This window comes from Homo sapiens, chromosome 20 (genome assembly GCF_000001405.40).
Source record: "Homo sapiens chromosome 20, GRCh38.p14 Primary Assembly".
In the NCBI taxonomy this organism is placed as follows: domain Eukaryota; kingdom Metazoa; phylum Chordata; class Mammalia; order Primates; family Hominidae; genus Homo; species Homo sapiens.
Genome location: NC_000020.11, coordinates 53244472 through 53257710, shown reverse-complemented (window position 1 = coordinate 53257710; position 13239 = coordinate 53244472). Strand labels below are relative to the sequence as shown.

General features: G+C 43.8%; 1 protein-coding gene across 10 annotated transcripts in view; it reads right to left on the bottom strand.

The window, feature by feature from the left end:
- Positions 1-13239, bottom strand: part of TSHZ2 (teashirt zinc finger homeobox 2) — a 522973-nt gene that overhangs the window by 237620 nt on the left and 272114 nt on the right. For 7 of the 10 annotated variants that reach the window (XM_047439875.1, XM_047439874.1, XM_047439873.1 and 4 more), the window contains exon 2: positions 1140-4212. In XM_047439875.1, the coding sequence (XP_047295831.1) occupies positions 1148-4212 (3065 nt within the window). In that variant the 3' untranslated portion in view covers positions 1140-1147. The remainder of the gene's footprint in view (positions 1-1139; positions 4213-13239) is intronic. The other 3 variants (XM_017027641.2, XM_047439878.1, XM_047439879.1) reach the window with 1 other exon arrangement.

The following is a 13239-nucleotide window of genomic DNA, read 5'->3' as shown; positions in this document are numbered from 1 at the left end:
GAATGGCCGAAGGTGGAGGACCACCTGAACACATAGGAGGGCCCTTAGTGTATGCGGGCATCATGCTGGAAGGGAGAGAAAAAGAAGTAGAGAAAACACAAATGGGCAAATGAAAGAGATTGGTTAAGACCCAGCCTTGCTTATCCTCAACATTTGAAAATGGCTGGTGAAACTAATCTGCCAAAGCATTTGACCTTGGTCTCTGCCCTGTTTCCTAAAAATGACACAAATGGTCTGGGCATGGTTGACTATATAAGGCATGGAACTTCTATGACACATGATGCACATTATCTTCAAGCTATGGGACTCCATGCACATTAACATAAGTGTACAGAAAGCCATTTGTTTCTTTATGTGAAATGAAACCTCAAGGGCACACATTGCCTCTATCTTTGTTAAAGGTGGGCTCTAATACTGGTCTATCCACAAGAAAACCAAAAGATGAAAGAAGAAAATAAGCTTCTTTTCATCTCAATGTTCTGCAAAGAAGAATATTTTTCTACCAACCTGTTAAGGGCACATGCTCATTCATAGGACACTTAATGTAGAAAATAACCAAAGGGAAGAGGTGGAAGGTGGCAATTACTAAAAGTAAGCTGCAAAAAAGCATTCATTACAAGTAACAATCATAAAGACAACTTTAAGCTATTCATGAGCTGATTAAGGAATCTCTATATAGTAACTACTTCTAGCACTCTCCAATCTTTCTTCCATTGCTCAACTTTTTGTCACTTTATAAGTCATTGGCATTGCTATGGAAAGGTGGGGTGGTGAAATGGAATGGTGACAGAAGTTAGTATCTAATAATTAAAATGAAAGATAGCCTTGGCTGGACACTGGAGCTTGCCTTGGGTAATTCAGGATTATGGATGATGAAGGCCTAAAAAAAGCAGTAGTAATCTGTGAACTTTATCTCTCTAAACCCGTTTTATTCTAGTTCCCAGCTCTAAACTAGAGGACTTAAGAGAATGATTAGGACTTAGTTTTCATGTTCTGGTCTTTCATTAAAATAAATCCTACTCCAGCAAGCTACTATCCTGCTTGGCATTGGGAGATGCTAGCTGCCTCTAAGCAGACCCATCTCCCTGTAAGAAAGCTCCTCACCAGGCTAATCGCAATGCCTCAGAGCAAACCCATACCTGCAGAGCTATTCTTCATCCACGTCTGTTACAAACTGTGAATGGTGTTCGGGTGACTTGCTGTGCGTTTTGCTTAGGTGGAGTTTTACCGCATGTTTGCTCACAAATGTCCGACAGCACAACTTACACTTGAATTTAGAGTCTGTGTCCTCTTCGGCAGCTATTGTTTCTGGAGACCTCTGAGCCGACGATACCCGGGAGATCTCTTGCTCCACCTTGCTTTGCTGGTCCACTGACAAGCGGGTCATGTCCTTCATTTGGAAACCCAGGTGAGATTCTAAGTGACTGATGTAGGTAGAAGGGGTTCTGAACTGGGAGGCACAGTCACTGCAATAAAAGATGGGGTGGCCTTTGTCCATGTTTTTCAGAAATTTTGTCCCGCCCGTTTTCCTAAGCTGGTACTTGACGTTGGCCAGCCAGTGACTGATAGTGGTCATTGAGAGTCCCGTAAACTTAGAGATTTGCATACGCTCTTGTGGGCCCAGATCAGACAGCAGGTATTTGCCCTCTGATGTCTGGAAGAGGCTCGAGGCAAACTGGGCTTGTAGAATCAGAAGATGCTGAGGATTCCAGTTGGACTGCCGGCCTTTTCTTTTATGCAAAGTTGAGACTTCACTGGAGACATCCTCAAAGCGCCTGACATCCATTTCCAGCTTCATGGGGGGGACCCTGGAGGAGGAGGCTGGCTTTGGGGTGGTGGCTTTGGGGAGGACTTTGACCATGTCGGCGATGTCAGACAGAGCGTGCTTCTGAGGTGGGGACATACAAGATTGTGCTTGCGAGGACTCGGCTTTCTTGCTTTTGGACTTGGTCAGGTCAATGGGCTGATCGCTGTTCTCAAACAGGTAGCGCCTGGACACGCTGGCTGACCTTGTGGAGGCAGGACTCAAGACCGGCTTGTCCATGACATTGAGATTCGACTTGTGGAACATGGAAATTGTGCTTGAACTTGGGCTGGAGCAGGAAGGTGAGCGCAAGGGCTCCGTGGCTTTGCCCAAGTGATTGTTCAGGACGGACTGCAGGGCGCTGAGTGGGTTGATGCATGGCAGGGCCGGGGCGTGGTTGGCGAGGGCGCACCCATTGCTCAGAGCAGATGTGGGCTCCAGGGGCTGGGGTTTCTCCTTCTCGCTGCCCTCTTTCATCAGCTTCTCCTCCTCCTTCAGGGGACCCAGCTCGGTCTTTTTGGCTTCTGGAGGTGTTTCACTTTTGCGGAAAGAATCGCCCTCACTGTGGCTGAAAGATGAGGCCTCTTCGTGGGGACTTTCTTTCCCACACTCCTTCACCGCTTCATCTTTGTCTTCTGACTCTTTCTTGACTTGAGTGTAAGGGGCCAGGTGTGTGGGCATAGAAACCAGTGGCATCACTTTCCACTTTGGTGCAATGGGCCTCAGCTTGTTGGTGAGATTAGGCCGGATCTGCAGTACCTGGGATCCCATAGGCAAAGGCGGCTTGGTGCCCTCAGACAGCTGGTAGGCTGCGTGGATGCTGGGGTAGGCACTCCAGCTGGGGGCCCCGTTTTGGGCTTTGTTGATGGCTGTGGTGACAGTATTTTCCAAAGATTTCAAAATGTCCCCTCCACCCTTTGAGCCATCTTCCAAGTCTTCCTCCCTTAGGTATTGATATTTGATTGTAGGGTCTAAAGGTTTTTGTAGAGGATCTTCATAGTCCTCGCTTTTCACGACTTTCTCATCCTTGCTGGTTTCCTCTGGCCTTTCTTTTTTACTCTCTTTCTTTAACTCAGTTGTAGAGGCTGTACAATCTGATGCTGAGTTACTGGATGGCTTGGGAGCCAGAGAATCACTGTTTGGGGCCTCAGACAACGACTGCATTTTCTCCACTGCTAACGGGTCTAATACCAGCTGCTTCCCTTTCTTGGAGGCAGAGCTGGTGACCTTGAGAAAGTGACCTGTGACCATCATGTGGGTGGTGAGCTGCTGCAAGGTGTCATGGGAGCTCCCACACTCCATGCACTTTAAGATCTGGGACTTGCAGGCCTCAAACTGCCAGGTGTAGCTGGCTCCATTTTGGTAGCCATAGCGGTTGTTGGAGGACAACTGCAAGTTGGCGTTCTTCTGAGAAGAAAAAGAATCTGCAAAAGATCCTGTGGTTGAATCGGGGGAACACGGCCGATTGACATCAAAAACGCGTTTCTTAGCCGGGGTGACCATTTTCGAGGAAATGGTTGGGACTGGCTCCTTCAAAGGCACTTTTTGGTAATGTTTTGTTTTAATCATGTGGACGCTCAAATCTTGGAGGGAATCAAAGGAGTCGCCACAAAACATACATTTCAGAACCTTTTGAGCATCCTCTTTGTCCATATCCTGGAAAGCCCTTTTCCTGGGCTTTGAATAGCTCGTGGGTCTGAGCTTGTCCTTTTTGCGGTTGTCATCTTGATAGTGGCCCGTTTCATTCATGTGCACAGTCAGCTCGACTAGGGTGTCATAGGCCGCGCTGCACTGTCGGCATCGGAATCTGCTGGCCCCTGTGAACACAGTCCCGCACATCTTGCTGCTCTGTCGGTACAACTGCACCGAGCTGAACAGGCTGGGTTTCGAGACGGACCGAGAAGGCAAGTTCTGCTGCAGGCTTTTGGACAGAGCGTCTTGGTGCCAATCAAAATCACTCTTGTTGCTGCCGTTTCGGGTGTCACAGTTCCTCCTCTCACTATTGGACAGCTTGAAGCCAAGGCCCAGGCCTGACCAGTAGGAATCCGACAGGATGTTGGCGTAGACAGCGGTCATTTTATCCATGCAATTGTGTGCTTCGTTTGGAAGCCTGACGTGAGTGTGTGCTTTCTTGTCTGAGGCATCTCTGCCGCAGACACTCTTGATGTCCGACACCTGATCACTGGCGTCACTCAGCAGAGACTCGTTCTCGGCATCCTGATTGGACAAATGACTTCCTGGAGAGTTCTGGTAGCTGAAGCAGCCTTTTTGCTCTGGGCCCGTTTCTAGCTCCTCGTCCGTCCCTGTGTCATTGCCACCCTGCAGTTGAGCTACTGAACCGCTGTCCTCCTCCTCCTCCTCTTCTTTTATTTCCTCCTCTTCTTTCAGCTGTTCCTCCTGGGCGTAGCCTGCAAGAGAAGAAGAAGAGATGAAACGACAGTAACAGGCTCCATATTCCATTCCAATTTCCTCACATAGACTAAGTGCTTCCCATGCCGAACTGAACGGTGATTTAATCTACATTTTTATGCACTGTGAGCAGTGGACACAGGAAAAGCCAAATGGTGTCTTTCGTGCCATCTAGTGTTTTTTTTTTTTTTTTTTTCAATTGGCAGGAGTCATAATTCTTTATAAATGCCTAGGATCCCAAGTTAATAATTTTCAGGTTTAAGGAATATCTTTCTAATATTCCTGTGATGGGATAGTTGCTAAATTCATGTGTATGACTTTTAGGAAATCTGGATTGAAATTCATATCCCATTAAAGTCACGTGTCTACAGGGAAGAATGTTGGCTCATAGGGAGACTAAGACTTGACTCTTGGCATCTAGATGGTAAAGTTTACCAAGACACTTGGATATATTGGCATATAACCATATAAATAAATCATTTTTGAGTGCTCAGAAGTAATTTGGATACACAGCCATTATATTTTTTGATAGCCCCTGTCTTTTTGCTATAACATTTTTATTTGTAGGGAATCACACAGCAGGAAGAGAGATGATGGGGTATGCAAATAAAATCTTCTGTTGATAGTTGAAAAATTATATAAGCTCAGCAAATATAATGACTTGAAAATAATCGCAAATGGTGCTAGAATGGGAGATTTGGCGACTATCTTATTATTCTAAAACAGGTTTGTGAAGACCTTTCCAGACAAGGTTGAAAATGCCCTCTCGATCTTGTGCCTGTAATTTCAAATGCACTGTGATTTGTGGGTACCCGTCATGAGATGCCAATTATATATTTGATTTGTAGATGCAAAATGCTATTGGGGATGCATGCTTTCCCTTCTCTGAAAGGATTTAGGACCAGTAATTACATAGGGAAAATGAAGACATGAGTGAGCCAGTGCAAAGGGAATTAATGGGCAAATATCCATCAATGGAGATGGGGAATGTGACATTATGCCTATGGGCTCATTTTCTTCACCTGGCCTTTTCAGAACCATGCAGATAACATGCAACCAAAGAAGTCCCAAAGAAAAGGAGATCCAGTTTTAGGTTTGCAAGGCCTGCACAATCTTAATGCAATATTTTCTTTATGAACTTCTGTCTCCTCTCTCTGTGGCAGGTAGCGACGTGGGGAAAACCTTAGAGCAGGCTCTGTTATTTCCAGTCACTAAGGACAAAGCTTGGAAAAGGAGTGGTCATGCGCTGGAGGTCCATCCTGTGAGGCAGGCACGGAGAATTAGAAGAGAAGGGGATTTGCTAGGATAAAGCAGCTACAATCAGCAACTCCAAAGGCTGCCGCTGCTGCTGCTGCTGAAGATAAAGAATATTTATTGAGCAATTGCTGTCTCCTAGGAAGTAAGCTAAACACTGCAAATGCATTCTTTCATTTTGTCTAATATCTGCATGAAGTAGCCACTATTACTTTCATTTCACAGAGGGGGAAACTGAGGCTTTAAGGTAAGGAAATTCACCCAAGGCCACACAGCTAGCGTTGCAGAGTGAGGACAGACACCCAAGTCTGCCTGATGGGAGAATGCCCGAATACAGGAGATGCTGCTATCTTTGTATTGCCAACCTAATGAAGAAGAACCCTTTGATGAGACCCAAAGGCTAAAGGTTAAGCAGTGGAATTTCATTGAAATGTCACTAAATAGATAACCACATCACAGGGGAAAACTGTGGGAAAACTGGAGACAAGAGCCCATGATTTTAGTGACAGAATACCGTAAAACAAGATGAAATGTATAAATTCAGTCTAGCCATGAGTTTTATGGTTGTGTTAGTTATTTTACTGCTATTGGTGTGGTGTGTTTTACCTTCCTAGCAAATTGACAGGTGGATTTTTTATTAAATTGGCGTTACTGGTCTCTAGCTTCAAAGATTGGTTTGAAAAAAACAACAACTACTCAATCTAGTCAAAAAACCATTAATAAGCGGTCACAACTTGCAGGAAAACTGTAGTTTAAAATGACCATATGGCCGAATTAGATTATTCCTGTCGGTATCATCCCATTTCCTTTTTCCTGGATTAACTTGTATGTTTGCAAAAAATAGATATACCATTCAAAGAGAAAGTCTCTGTTATAAAATTAATAAACTAAATAACAAATGATAAAATAAGTTGTTACTGAGCCAAGTAACATACATCAGAGAATCAGACAAATTTCATCAATCAAATAGGGTCACTTGGAGAATGAAGGGGTGCTATTACTCTGGAACATACGCTGGGTCAACAGGTAGTCAGCAGGATGTTCCAGGCCAACTAAGACATGTGACAACACCTGTGGGTAACGTAATCACAGCAACAAAGAAGCAAGTAAAGAAATCTGGGGATTTGGTGGCCATGAGGACTTTCTGTCATCACAATTGGCTAAGGGCATTTCTGGGTTTCATTCATCTCAGTATTTTCAGTGCCTAGCACCGTGCCTGACATCTAGCAAGAAGTTGGGAAGTAATTCATGTTATTTTGTGTGTACATTGATGAAATATACATACATGCACTCTAATGCGTGCACCTGTGCATACACACACACACACACACACACACACACAATCTGCCCACCCAGTATAGTCATTTTCAAACTAGGAGAAAAGAAGTGTTCTTTTTTTTTTTTTTTTCCCACTGACATTTGGAAGCAGAGCTTTCCGGACCAGCTCAACCTCACAATCTACTTTGTCCTTCTAAATGGATTCCCCAGAAGAAAAGTCAGAGACAGCAAACGCCTCCCCCACAATACAGATAAAATTTTCTGCTTAATTAGGCATTGACATGTTTACTATAACCTTTACAGAAGAGTAACTCGTGCTGAGAGACCCTTTTTGTCTGTTTTCCTCTGCAGAGCCGACTAAATCTCATGCACTGGATAAGGTAAGGCATTGAAAAGCCTCATACAAAAAGTGCCAAACATCTGTCAAAGTGAGTGTATTTTAACAATGGCTGAGGGTTCCAAGGAGTTTTTTTTAAAAAAACACCTTTCAATATTATACATCTAAAACTGTTCACTTGACTTAAGTGATTTTGTTTGCCACCAGCAGTTGGGGCAAGAGAGGAAAGGCAGCCAGAACAGGGGTGATCTGAGTGAATAATGAGTATCAGTGTCTCTCTCTGTATTGATGACTTGTTTAATAAGATTGCATCTTGTGTAAGTCTTAGGATAAGTGGATGAGTGGCAAGTTTACTCTTATGAATACTTATTTAATGAAAGAAAACTATCACAGTTATGCCAAAGCACAGGACAAAAGAACTGTTCTCTATAGAACTTCCTTGTTGATTGGGGGTCGAAGATCAAACTTCATAGTGGCAAAAATTTCCTTTTCCAACCTCAATTTCCAGTTTCATCCATTTCCCCAGCTTGACTCTGGCCACATGAGATGTCCCCATTCCTGGAACAGCTGATTCACGAGCAAATCCGGTCCATTCTTTGACTGAACTACTGACTCAAGAGACCATTTTTCTCCCACTCCATGGCCACTGCTCTAGCCTGGGCCACCGTTTTGTCCCCTAGGTTGGACAATGAGCTTCCTGCTTCTACTTCCCACAGTCTGCTCTTCAGTGAACTGCTAGAAGATTCTTTGTAAAAGGGATTAGGTCATGACAGCCCTCTCTTTTAACTCCTGCAGTGTCTTTCTGTTGCACTTGCAATAAAATCTCAACCCTTAGCATGGTCTACAAGAGCCTGCAGGATGTGCCCTAGGCCAACCTCCCTGCCCCTCTCTCATCACCCACGGCCTTCTCTTCATGCCTAGGAAACAATAATCTACTTGCCCCTCCTTGACCCCGCCAATCCTTCTCCTGACTGAGGCTTTCTGCCTTTGCAGATTTTTCTGACCGAAAAGTTCTTTGTCTGCACCATCACATAGCAGGTTCCATCAAGTCTCAGCTCCAATGGGCCCTTCTCAGTGAGGCCTTTGCTGATGTCTCCCCTGCTCTGTGTAACTATCCATCACATCACCCTACTGCCTGAAATCCCTGGAGCACTTACCAGACTCTGAAATAAACCCATTTGTTTATTGATTGATGTCTTCTTCTACTGGATGTAAGGTTAGAATATCTATCCCCATGCAGTCAGAATGCTCCTCCCCAGTGCTCAGTTCACATCCTGGCACAGAGTGATGTCCACAAACTATTTGAGTTAATGAATGAATAGATTACACAGTAAAAAGGATTATTCCAGCTGCAAACTTTGGCTCCATTCCTCAGCAGTGAAATTGGTACTTCTGGTGGGTAAAGATCTGCCCACCCTCAGCCCATGTAGATAGATGTGAATTACAATCATGCTAATCAACTTCACTCAATGATAAAACCAGAGTATCGGCTGTGTGCCGAGGCTCACACTTGTAATTCCAGCATTTTGGGAGGCTGAGGCAGGCAGATCACCCGAGGTCAGGAGTTCAAGACCAGCCTGGCCAACATGGTGAAACCCAGTTTCGACTAAAAAAAAAAAGAAAATCAGCCAGGTGTGGTGGCACACGCTTGTAATCCCAGCTACTCGGGAGGCTGAGGCAGGAGAACCACTTGAAGTGGGAGATGGAGGTTGTAATGAGCTGAGATTCTGCCACTGCACTCCAGCCTGGGCGACAGAGTGCAACTCTGTCTAAAATGAAATGAAATGAAATGAAATAATACCAGAGCATCCCCATAAATCATCTTTTCAGAACAACCCAGCTACCAACTTCCTTGCTGCCCAACTTCTTTGAGCTGTGGATTTACACTCCTAAGTATAAAGGCTGCAAATAAGCAACAAGACCTCAAAGCATCAGAATCTATGCTCTTAATGTGAACAGACTTTGATTCAACAAAGATTCACACATGGGAACTTTGAAAGTATGGACTAATTTTATCATGGATAAAGTCCATTAGCTGGTCTACTATAAACAACATTACATATGTATTAGCAGACATACATATTAGAGTAGCCTTCCCCTGAATTCTTCATTTAAAAAAGGAGAAATATTATTGGAGAAGAATATTTTATATGCTGCATTTGTTTTACCCTAATAGTATGTGGGTAAAAATTAGAAATAAACCCTTATATTTTATTTTCTTCTTAGAGAAATTTTCTTTCATATGAAAAGTTAATGGCTGGGCATGGTGGCTCACACCTGTAATCTCAGTACTTGTGGGAAACTGAGGCATGAGGATTACTTGAGCCCAGGAGTTGGAGACCAGCCTGTGCCACATAGCTAGACCGTTTCTACAAAAAAAATAAAAAAAAAATAGCCAGGCATAATGGTGCATGCCTATGGTCCCAGCTACTTGGGTGGCTGTGGTGGGAGGATCACTTGAGCCCAGAAGGTTGAGGCTGCAGTGAGCTGTGATCACGCCACTGCCCTGCAGTCTGGGTGACACAGCAAGACCCTGTCCCAAAAAAACAACAACAGAAGGAGGAAAACAATTATTTTTAAAACTATACCACCTCAATTTTTTCCAAACCTCTAGTCAGAATGATTTAAATGAAATTGTGCAAAATAATTCATGGGTGGTATGGAGTTACATATCAGACTTTTGCTAGGTATACGTTTCTGTAGTCACCTTGAAAGTCCACAATAGTGTTTACAGTAAAAACACTGACAGTTTTAAAAATGGCAGCAGAAGTGGAATCATAACATAAGAACAATTTAAAACTCAAGAAGGCTGATTTTTAAAAACTAAACCAGAATTCAACCAAGACCTCATTTAAAAACATATCCGATGGTGACAGGATCGTTTTCGCCAATCTACCGCACTAAATGACTGTTTAAAGTCACAGGAAGATGCCACAGGGTTCAAGGCAGACGTAAATGAGGAGATCGTGAGAATTTCTCAGCGTGTACCCAGTAGGTACAAAAAATGATGACTCGGAATGAGAGCTCCCTGTCATGAGTCTCTAGTGTTTGGGTGACTGTGGTCTAAAAGTCTGTTAGTATGTATGTTATTATTGGCACTAATTGGCATGCATGTTGGCAGGCTGAGTAAAGAGATATAGGATTCAGTGTTCAAGGAAGCTGAGCTATTCTCAAGGGTAGCCAGGCCTGGAGTGAGGGCCTCTTGGAGGGCCATGTGGAGGGATCCCTCTGCTTTTTGTTTCAGGAGAGAGGAAGTCTAGAGAGCTGTGGGATCCTTGCACCATTCCTGAGCACAGACTTCATTTACAGAGAATCCAGGTACCACAGGCCAGGGCCCAGTGTGTTTGCTGGCTGGAGAAGTGATCTACGTTCATGCACATTTTTAAACAGAAAAATGTTCAAAAAGAAATGTGACATTTATGGTGCGTGGATTTTTATCCCTGTCATGCCACATATAACATAAGTGTTACTGATATATACGGATCGAGAGAGAAGAGTTTGCTCCCTCCTCTGTCTGAAAGTCAGAACCAAACAAATAGAATTCTTTGTTTAAAGCACTGCTGGAGATGGCGTGGGTACAGTGATGGGGGGCCATCCTGAGCCCATGAGTACTCTGCGGAGATAAATGGGGAGGTTTCTGGTGGTCATCAAAACAACAATCTCTCTCTATTTTTTTCAATTTCCTGAAGATGGTTCGGGTAATTGGAATGCTTTACATGTACCGCGCTTGCATACCAGGTGGGGTCCGTCTAAACACTTAATGTACGCTTGTTGCTTCTTTCCTGGGCCATCGTTACAGCTCTTTGGACTGTAAAACGTTTTCTAATCACATTTTGTGAATTTCTCCACATCTTGGTCATCAGCAAAAAAACGGCTAAGCTAGTTTAAGTCAGGAGAAGTGGATATTCTGTCATCCCTTTGTGGTTCATCTGTTTATTCATTTAATCAAGAAATATTTATTCTGCAGTTACCACATGCAAGACACTTTAGTGGAGTTTCACTAGGACTTTCGTCACAGTGGGTCTTCCAAGGCCAAGGCAAGTAGAGAGGTGAGTTATGGAGAGAAGTTGGATGCTGAGGTTTTGGAGAGAGAGGTCATGAAAAGGTCACACATTACTGATGGAAGGCAGGTAATGAAAATGGGCGAAGCGGGCCAGGTGGAGGAAAATCCGTTCTCAGTTGTGAAGGTAAGTAATCATGTATACTCAGCTAGACTGGACACTTGTCTGGAGGACACCGAGGGCTGTGAGTAAGAGGAAAGTTTATGGCACATCAAAAGCACAGTGCACCAGGTGCAGTGGCTCACGCCTGTAATCCCAGCACTTTGGGAGGCAGAAGTGGGCAGATCACATGAGGTCAGGAGTTTGAGACCAGCCTGGCCAACATGGTGAAAACCCATCTCTACTAAAAATACAAAAAATTAGCTGGGTGTGGTGGTGCATGCCTGTAATCTCAGCTACTTGGGAGGCTGAGAGGCAGGAGAATCACTTGAACATGGGAGGCGGAGGTTGCAGAGAGCTGAGATCACGCCACTGCATTCCAGCCTGTCCAAGATAGCAAGACTCTGTCTCAAACAAAAAAAAAAAAAGAAAGAAAGAAAGAAAGAAAAGCACAGCTGCTACTGAAGGACTTTCATGGAGTTTGGGATTGCCAGGTATTTTGTTTGGGCCCAACTGTGTGGACAAAACTAAATACATCTGAGACCCAACCATTTGCAACCTCTGAACCGCAGGAACCAGGGGTTAGAGAATCTGGTGTGCTTTTCTGGTTCTCTCTCCTATCAGCTCTTTGACCTATTTCTTCATCTGTCAACCTCAAATAGGAGTGACTATCCCAAGCCTGACTGACTGAAAGGGTCCTATCAGGACAAAAGAGGAAGTGTATTGTAAACCCATACTATTCAAGTAGGGTTGATGAATGGTGTTGGCATCACCTGGGAGCTTGTTAGAAATGCAGGCTCTCAGCCCCACCCCAAGCCTACAGAATAGAAATCATTTAACAAGGTCTCTAGAGGATTCCTATGTGCCAGGAAGTTTGAGAAGTTTGGATGTAAATTGCAAAACAGTTAATTAGTAGAGAGATATTTAGCAATCTACTTCTCTATGCCTATGTTCACCAGTGTATGTGGGAACCAGCTTTGTGAAAAGATCATACAACTTTGAGGACTTTCAGCCCCTGTCCTCTCCAGAGACCAAGAGACTAAATGCCTATGGCTTAGATGGTTGCTCCCAGTTTATACTGGAAAACACCAACCAAGAGAGAAATAAATTGCTGATTCAAGAACTGATCAGTTAACAGGGTAGATAAGATGGCCCCTCAGCCTTAGGATCAGGCAGACCTTGGTGTACTGTGTAATGTCTTGGGAAGGACAAGACAATCTTGGGAAAATTACTGAAAACTTTCAAAGGCACAGCTTCCTCATCTATAAAATAGGAATAATAATAGTATCTGCTTCTTAAGATGCTTTAGAGTATAGCATGTGATAAAGTATGTGAAACACCAAGAATGCAGGGTTACCTCCCAACTTCTCAGTGCTGGTTCTAGGCACTTTCCAACCACTGTACATCTGATCTTCAACCTGAACCCACAGATGGCTGAAATCAGTTGAGTCTGGCATTCTGTGTTATCCCTAAATCTTATTCCAAGCCAACAGCTTTTAGATGGTATTCACAATAGATAAGAACCAGCTTTGTTTATGTGTCATCCATAAGAATGCATAAGAAAAGAGCTTCCTCCAGTTTGGGGTTTGTTATTTAATATTAAATCACTTGTACAAGGAGCCAGTGGTATGTGTGCCGGGAACTTCCGTAGAAAGTGATGTACAAACATCAAATAGCAAGTTATTAGGTCATTAGCCATAATGGTAATGTCTGCAATCCTCAAGAAATAAAGCAACCCACCATCTGAGAAAAAAGGTCTTTGTTAGAGGCCTCGGGCTTTGCACTGAGAGAGGTGACAAATGTTTAAAGCAGAAGGTCTCCAAGAAAAATGCTTTATATTCAGCTACCTGGAATTTCAGTCCAGCGTATATTATTATTGCGACGTGTCTTGGTGACAATTTAAAAAAGCAGAGTGAGAAAATATTCATGGAGAAGGGTGAGAAGGGGACCACTTTATAAGCTTTTTGGTAGCTCCAGTTTAGAAATCATTATCCTTA